Source organism: Homo sapiens, chromosome 5 (genome assembly GCF_000001405.40).
Source record: "Homo sapiens chromosome 5, GRCh38.p14 Primary Assembly".
NCBI lineage: Eukaryota > Metazoa > Chordata > Mammalia > Primates > Hominidae > Homo > Homo sapiens.
The window spans coordinates 117,033,702-117,043,003 of NC_000005.10; the positions used below are offsets into that span (position 1 = coordinate 117,033,702).

The following is a 9,302-nucleotide window of genomic DNA, read 5'->3' on the forward strand; positions in this document are numbered from 1 at the left end:
AACAGAAGCCGACTTCATCTGTGGAGGTGACACTGCAACAAGCTTATTTGTTCCATTGTCAGTGAGTTCTGGATCAGAAATTCTAGTCCCAGCTTCTGACAATCTGGGTAACTTTGACAAGTCATTTCTCCCCGTGACAGCTAAGCATGCTTCTAGGACTTTGATGGTGAAATCAATCTGTAAGTTCTTTATGCTTTTTTTTTTTTTTTGAATTGGTTTTTACTATACTCTGCAGTTCGCAAATAATGGCCCCAACTCCAGTACTGGATTTTTCTCTTCTTACCTTGTTATTCTTAAAAAATCTATAATTTTTGTCCACAGTGACTGTTTTCCCTAACAGCACATACAGTTTAATCCTTGGTAAATGTAGCCCTCAAAAATCCTGGATTTCAGTCTGAATGTGCCGGGTCTCTCTCCTGGTCCTATCATCCCTGAGTGGTACTTAGGCCAGAAATGCCAGACAGGCTCCATGTCAACTGTGAAAAAAAGGCCCTTGGGTTGGGATTTGCAAACCTAGCTATGCCTGGGCTCATTGAAAAGAATGATGTGATTGATTAGCAGTATCTGCCATGGCTGCCCCAGAGAAGGAGGAGTGGCACAATATCCTTTACAAGTCCCTGAAATGGGGTATTAGGACCTGATATGTTTAAGTGTTAGGCATGGACACGGAAAGGGACAGGGCAATACTTTTCACCCTGAGTTAGGCAGTTCTTTGCTTCTCAAGTTGTGGCTGCCACATTGGCGAGATAGATGGGGAGACATTCTGAAAACAATGAAGCTGGGAGTAGTTTCTCAGATCCTGGATAGCACAGTATAAGCCTTAAGGTGAAGAGAGCTTGCAAAGGAATCCCAGTCAGGGTCCTGAGGCAGGGCTTCTCAGTGTGTGCACTTAGCCTCTGGAATCAACTTCATCTAGATATCTGGCTGCAGGTCCTCAGAGGGTTAAACACAACTTGGATAATGCTAGACAAAGCCTTTTTTACATGAATCTTACTATGTACAATAACTATAATCTCTGGATAAACTTTTCAAAATTGATTTTTGCCAGGATCATCAACTCTTATTATTATTTTTTAACCACAATTATGCTTTTACTAGGGGTAGTTTTTTTGAGTGCCATCTCACCTTGAATAATTGAAGCAGTAGTTTTCAGAAAAGCTCTTGTTCAGCTTCTAATTACGACCCTTAAGGTAATAGATCGTAGTCTTAGAATAATTGGGCTATGTCAAATTAGGGCCCCCAAATTGGTCTACTTATTGGCCATTCAACAAATCATGCTCAGATCTCACATATTTCATGAAATATTCTGTTATGTCTTATCCACCCATTAATATGGATAAATTAAATTAATATGTATTTCAATTACATATACCAAATTATTTAGAATTACATCATGTTTACCTTCTTATTTTATATCATCCTCATTAAGAGAGTGATGGAGCTTGGTTTTATAAACTAACTTTTACCCTTACAAAAACCAGCACAATGCTGGATACAGCCAAATGTGTTCAAACATGTAAAATATTAATGTCAATATCTTGTTATTGTTTTTATTAAATAAGTCTCTTCCTTTGCTAGTCTGGCAAGAAAAGATTAATAGATCTGGTAAAGGGGAACCCATTATCTGATTCTTTTATTTACCGATATTTAGAAAAACCTCTATAGATCCAGGGTATGAGTTTGTCAAATGCTACCTTGTTCCATGTATTTAAATCACTTGTACCCAAGATGTAAAGAATATCCAAAAAAATGAAATGCATCTTTGGCAATATATAATACAACTCACTGTAGAAAAATCTATTTGAGCTACAGATGATATTGTCATGTTAGAATCACAAAAACTTTCTCATTTTTCCAGAGTGTTCTACTAATCAAATTTATGAAATCAACTTTTCATTTTAGAGGACACATTTTATGCCACATATACAATGCAGACTTCTTCTGAGTAAACTCTGAGATGTATGTAATAACTTATTTTAGAAAAATAAGAAAGCAAAAGCTTATCTTAAAGGGAAATACTTCAGAATGTTTGCATGACATCTGAAGAACTGCTGAGTATATATACATCCTTCAAACTTTTAAAAGTAGGAATTGTTACTATTGCTCCACACCCAACCTCCCTTTTCTAAATTTGATGTCATATGGAAGAGAGATAATTTTCTTTATGGTTTGAATTAGGCAAACAATTTGTGATGCATTGCATCTGGCCCTCTCAATAAAAAAGGACTAAAAAAATAGTTTGAATTCCATTGTGAATTAAACTAAAAATTCTGTTTTTCCAGATGTTTGTCTCTTGAGTGGGGATTATCTCGGGGGAAAGAATATTAATTTATAAAGTTTAAATCTTTAGGTTTTTGGTGGTGTTGTTTTATTTCCCTTACTTTCAGAATGAAAATATAGAGTCTCATAAGCAGTATATTATAAGTAAAGGCCAAAATTAACTGACTGAGGTATCTAACTTCTACCAAGGATTCATTACTTTGCTTCTAAAAGCCTTTTTATTCTCCCAGAGTCTTCCATTAAGACACAAATACTCAAGGACACTTGCAATTACCTTCACAGACTAACATAGGAGAGTGAAAGGTAGATTACTTGACACCTTATTAAATTTAGGCTCCTAAGAGAATAGGCTCCAGGAAAGGGAAATAGGTTCTGGAAAGGAGATGTAGCTATAGGAGAGAGAGGTAGGATATAGAAAGGAAATGTTGCCCGTGGAATGGGGATTTGGCAATGGAAAGAAGATGTAGGAAGCAGAGAGAGATTTGGATACAACAAGGAATAGCCAGCTAAGAGGAGGTGTTAGGACTGGGAAAATGCTGCCTCAAAGTACTTTGAATTGAAGGAGATTGAGAGGGCTTCAGAAACAAGAAGGTCATGTTGACCTTTCCCACCTTTCTGTTGAAAGCTAGCCCTAAAGTTCTTTGACCCACCTTGCCTGAAAGTAGGTCAAAAGACCCCCGCTTTCCAGAGGGTTCCTGCCTTATACCCAGGAGGAAGGAATGCTACACAGAGAGGCCAAGAAGAATATGAACTGATAGGGTTTGCTGGGTTTCAGAGCTTACTCCATTACCATTGGATCAGACCCTTTTGTCCAATCACGTTGTAGCAGGACGAGCGGCAGACAAAACTCCTCAGACACCGAGTTAAAGAAGGAAGGGGTTTATTTGGCCGGGGCATTGGCAAGACTCCTGTCTCAAGAGCCAAGCCCCCCCCCCCGAGTAAGCAATTCCTGTCCCTTTTAAGAGCTCACAACACTAAGGGGGTGCACGTGAGAGGGTCGTGATCGATTGAGCAAGCAGGGGGTACATGACTTGGGGCTGCATGCACCGGTAATTAGATAGGAACAAAACAGGATAGGGATTTTCACAGTGCTGGTCTATACAATGTCTAATCTATAGATAACATAACCGATTAGGTCAGGGGTCGATCTTTACCTACCGGGCCCAGGGTGTGGCGCCGGGCTGTCTGCTTGTGGATTTCATTTCTGCCTTTTAGTTTTTACTTTTTCTTTCTTTGGAGGCAGAAATTGGGCATAAGACAATATGAGGGATGGTCTCCTCCCTTAACGTGTCTACATGACTGTCCATTCTTCATTGAACCTCAGCATAAAAATAGACTGCTTTTCCAGGGTCTTTGGGTCTTCATTTCTAAAGGCTCCCATGTGACATAAAACTTGATTAAGTAAATTTGTTGTGTCTTTCTCTTATTAGCCTATCTTTTTTATGGAGTGTAGGCCATAGCCCTGATGATGAGTGAGGAAAGGTGTCATACCTTTCTTCCCCTACAAGGGGTTTTAAAATTTGCCTGATTATTAGAACCACCTGAAGAGGCTTAAGCAGGATAATTCTGTTGTTTTTTTTCTTATCATTCAGGGAAAAAGTAATAAATTATTCTCTTTTTACAATTTTTTTTTCAAACTATGGAAAAATCACAGGGCAATCAAATTTATAAAGGAAACTTATGCAGAGATGAGCATTACTATATGAAGAAAAGGAATGAATAGCCTTTCATTCTCGTTCTTGGTTCTATGCATTTAAAATGTAAGTTAAAAGTATTTTTCATTCTATAAACTGAAATGAATTGTTATCCCAGATATTTCATAGATGGAATTAAGTAGTTATATCTCTTTGTGGGCCTTAAAGAGATGTAATTATGATTTTTCTTTTTTTAGATCATTAAATACATTTTAGAATATAGGCACTGATGACTAGAAAGTATGGCTACTGATAAGAGAAGATAACTATAGTACCTTAAGTAACTATTCCTCCCTAAAGCTCATGTTTTTTTAGATAGAAAATAAGGTATTGTCTCAGATAATTAAATATTCAATGATTTTCTTTTCTCTTTTGCCTCTAAAACCAACAAATATATGGTATGTGTGTTCATCATCTTGATATTTTTTAAAGCTAGTAGGTAATATTTTTTCTGGTAAATTATGTATTTCAGTTGCTTGTCATACAATGATTTTTTACATGGAAAAACTTATAAAAGACTAAAGGCTTTTTTTCATTAAAAATTGGAAAGTTTTTTTTCCCAATTCTGTGTTCTGTTCAGTACTATTCAGTGATTTGAATCTTAACTAGAAGGAATAATACAGAATTGAATCATGTGCATTCCTTTGTGCATAACAATTTAGAACAGACTAGAGTGGTGAGTCTCAGTTTTGATCTTCTTTTTAGGTGAAGAGTCTTCTGGATCAGAACTGTGACTACTGCCTCCACTGTGTAAAGCATAGGTCTCCTAAAACATCAGCCCATCTATGATCTTTCTTTATGCCCCACACGACTTAATGACCCCATGACTTGGCAGAGTCGTCAGAGACAAGGCCCTGATTTGAAGCCTGTTTCTTAGCAGTGAACCAAAGAAATGTAAAGATGATAAGCGATTTTCAGTTCTCATTCAATGGTGATTTGAAAGTACAGGAAACCGTCGGGCACAGTGGCTCATGCCTGTAATCCCAGCACTTTGGGAGGCCGAGGTGGGTGGATCACAAGGTCAAGAGATGGAGACCATCCTGGCTAGCATGGTGAAAACCCGTCTCTACTAAAAATACAAAAAAAATTAGCTGGGCCTGGTGGCAGGTGCCTGTAGTCCCAGCTACTCAGGAGGCTGAGGCCGGAGAATGGCGTGAACCCGGGAGGCAGAGCTTGCAGTGAGCCAAGATCTCACCACTGCACTCCATCCTGGGTGACAAAGCTAGACTACATCTCAAAAAAAAAAAAAAAAAAAAAAAAGGTACAGGAAACATATTTCAATAAATTCTAGCAATTCAATTTTATAATAAAGTGATAGTTAATAATCTATGATCATGTGACTCTAGGTCTTTTTAAGCAGACAGATTCTGCAGGCAAAACTGCCAATAGAATGAGGTATTAAGTGCTGTGTCAAATAATTGGCATTACATGTGCCTAGTGTGGAATCTGCTGATTTTGCCTTTTGAGAAGGAAGAAGCTTCTATTTCCTGTATTTGTTATGTTAAAAGAATACCTTTACTCAAATTAAATGTAATAGAGTTAAATTAAGTAAGGAATGATTCATGAATTGGGCAGCCTCCTGAGCCAGAATAGAATCAGAGAGACTCCAGTGCAGCCACATGGTGGAAGATTTATGGACAGAAAAAGGAAAATGATGTACAGAAAACTGAAGTGAGGTGCAGAAACAGCTGGATTGGTTACAGCTTGACATCTGCCTTATTTGAACACAGTTTGAACATTTGATTCCCTTTGATTGGCCAAATTCGGTGACTGGTCCAAGAGTAGGTTACATACAGCCTCTATACACCTCCATTTAGGTTACAGTTTGCTACATACAAAGAATCTTTTAGGCTGAATTTAAAATGTATGAAGAGGCAGCTTTAGGCTAAACTTGATTTAACAGTTATCTACAAAACATTTCAACCCCAGGAAATCATATCGTTCTTACAAGGACACTAAGATGCAGAAAGAACATGTATTACACCTTCTCTTTTACAGAGAGAAACGAAGAATCAGAAAAGGTTAAGTGACTTACCCAGGAAGATATCATTAGAAAGTATTCAAAAAGTAGAGAATAAAATAATGGCCTAAATTAGAACCCAGAAGTCTGGACTCTGAATCTTCTGATTCAAAGTCACATGCTGACCTCCAGCTAAAAGATCTACTGCATTGAAGTGTGAGAAAAAGTTAGAGGAATCACTTTTACAGCCCAGAAGCTTATCACCCCAGGACAGAGAAAAGTGATTACCTAATCTCTGGAGCAAGACAATATGCTTGAAAACAAGGTAGAGTTAGGATGGGGATGGGGAAGGGCAAATGGAAGGAAGAAATAACTTGATACATTATTTTGAGCTCTCCTGTAACTTATTAAGGGCTTGCCTGAGAGACTTCTATACTGGAGAAAAGATTTCTTTCCTCAACCCTCGCTAGACTCAGGGCTGAGCCCCCTATATCTTGTTAAAGAATAGATTAACAAGAGGAAAGCATACACATTTATTTTATTTTATTTTATTTTATTTTATTTTATTTTATTTTATTTTATTTTATTTATTTGTTAGTTTTTGAGACGGAGTTTCTCTCTTTTTGCCCGGGCTGGAGTGCAATGGCGCGATTTTGGCTCACTGCAACCTCTGCTTCCCAGGTTCAAGCAATTCTCCTGCCTCAGCCTCCCGAGTAGCTGGGATTACAGGTGCCCGCCACCAGGCCCAGCTAATTTTTTGTATTTTTAGTAGAGACAGGGTTTCACCATTTTGGTCAGGCTGGTCTCAAACTCCTGACCTCAGGTGATCTGCCCGCCTCAGCCTCCCAAAGTGCTGGGATTACAGTCCTGAGCCACTGCACCCTGCCTACACATTTATTTAATATAAGTTTTAGGTGACGTGGGAGTCTTCAGAAATTAAGACTCAAAGAAACAGGAAAAACTGTATTTTTATGCTTAGGTTTGATAAAGAGTGGACAGTTGTACAGAAGCATGATAGGATAAAAGGGGGTATGATCTAATGGTAATAAACTGGGTTGAGGGGAAACTCAACAAGGCCTCTTTGTTTAGATTCTTACTTGTGTCTCTGTGTCTTCATTCTTTTCTTCTGGGTAGGGGAAGGACCACTCTGGAATGAGGGTCTTATCTACTTTCGAGGAAGGTTAGAGAATTCTTTTATGGCCTGCTACAGGGAAGAATGTTGAGAGAAGGTCAGAAAGATCTCCTGCTTCTGCTGTTTTCTCAAATGCCAAGGTACCATATTTTGAGGTAGCATGTTCTGAACTGGGTCATTCTGATTATAGAGATGTCCCATTGTGAAGAGAAAATGCCCCTAACTATCAGTGTCATTAAGACAAGCGTGGAGTTGAAGTCCAGGAGAAGCAGGTTATGAGGCAGAGAATGTTTTCTTCTACTCTCAGGGGATTATGGGAAGGAGAGTCCAGAATACCTCATGACAGGTAAGCGAGGTGAATCATGATAGGTAAGTGAGGCAGTCTCATGGCCCTTTTTCAGTTCCTGTGTGGCATAGCAAGGACACGTGAGTCCTTATTCCCCGTGAACATGTCCAGGAATGTAGCTGAGTTGGAAGCAAGAAGTTTGTCATGGAGACTGAATTGGTTAAAGCATTGTGATCCTATAGCCAAGGCAGAGAGTGGAACACTCACTTGGGAGAGTCAGTGGAGATTTTGTGAGTCTCTGTATATATGAGGGCCTAGGTTAGACACTGTGTGCCAGTAACTGCTGCCAGGCCCTCACCAAACAAGAGAAGGAAGCAGTACAACTAGCTAGTGTTGTCCAAAAGATGGGAGGAACTAAGGACCCTGACTGAGTAAGTCTTCTCTTCTCTTTATAATCATATTTTAGAAGTCACATCTTTTATTCATTCCCCATATCTCAGACATGCCAAGTATTGCTGATGAGAGGTTCAAAGATAGAGCATTTCAAAATGGGCTGAGCAATATTATTTTAAAAGGTTTTTAAATGATTGGGCCAAACTATATTTTAAGTTGAATAGCTACTCAACTAAATTATCCCATTAACTACTCAGCAGGGGCTCTGTGAGAAAATCAGATTATTTATCGACAAATTAAGAGATCTATATAAATTGTGGTGTGAGTGAGTGAATTTTGGACTCCACTACACTTGTATATTACAGAGAAATTGTGCATTGAAAGCTACTCAGTTATTCATTCAAAATAACTGTTCCCAAATTATGAGTTTTAGACTTTTATGTGGACCAACAGGTCAAACCTGGAAATGTTTAAAATTACTATAGCTTTTTATTTTACCAGTATTCATGAAGAACTGGATAAAAAAAAATTATAAAATAGCCCATAAAAAGCGCTTCCCTTAAATGGAAAGTGTTACTGTAAAGAAAAAAAAGGGAAATGAAAACGTTAGCCTGAGGCACTAGAGTCATGAATATCTAGAGACCTAAGGAATTCCATTTTCTCACCCATATGTGAATTGAAGGGAAAAGAGTGGAACATTTTCCCACCACCACTTTTGGACATGATATAAGCTGTCAACATTTCTAAATGTTCTATGGATATGAAAATGCAAATAACTCCATTCTGGTACTAGGGATGATGTTTGAGTTTATGCTGCATTTGATCCGGAGTCAAGTGCATCTGATCATTCAGCACAACTATTTCTTGACTTCTCTGGGTCAGATGTTTGATTATACCATTGTTTTAGCGGAAACCGTAAGTTCTGTGAATTGCCTCTTTTTTCCCCATGTTTGGAAGGTTCTCATTGTTAATATGTTAAATCTTTAATTGCCCACAGCTGGAAGTTTCCTTCAGTAATTATGAGATTCTTTCTGCATTTACATTGTTGATCATCCAGTGTGAAACTCTGTAATAGCCCTTATTTAACTCTTCTCGAGTGCTTGAAAAATCACCACTTTGGAGACAGGAACAAGATCTGATTAGATTCTTTTTTCCCCCTTTTGTCGTTTGAGTGGGTTCCTTTTGTTAAAAGCAGGCAGGTTTAAAATATTTAAAAATCATTCTCAATTGCTTTGGGGATTTAAATTTTTTTCTAGATTCAAACCTGGAAGCCTTGATCCCAATCTAAAAATTACCTTTTCTCCCTACTTTTATGAAGAAAAAAAGCTACTTCATCCATTTTTAATTTTTAGAAGCATAAAATGCTATGTATGTGCTGGAGAATTTTCATTCTTTTCCCATTTGAAAAGTGGTAAGTTAGCTGGTTTTCTTCCAAGACAGATTTATGAAATTATTATTACTTCACCTATTGTTATTTCATCCATTTTGAAATAAATTCTTTAAAATCATTTTTTGAATCTGCCTTTGGCTTAGTTTAATGTAAAGCTTTTAAAAAGC

The 9,302-nt window shown here is 37.8% G+C and overlaps 1 annotated feature.

The window, feature by feature from the left end:
• Window positions 8,434-9,073: an enhancer, noted in NCBI's record as "OCT4-NANOG hESC enhancer chr5:116377831-116378470 (GRCh37/hg19 assembly coordinates)". NCBI's record gives its function as "activates a minimal SCP1, AML or CMV promoter by ChIP-STARR-seq in naive H9 embryonic stem cells {active_cell/tissue: H9 hESC(naive)}" and the evidence as "EXISTENCE:reporter gene assay evidence [ECO:0000049][PMID:30033119]".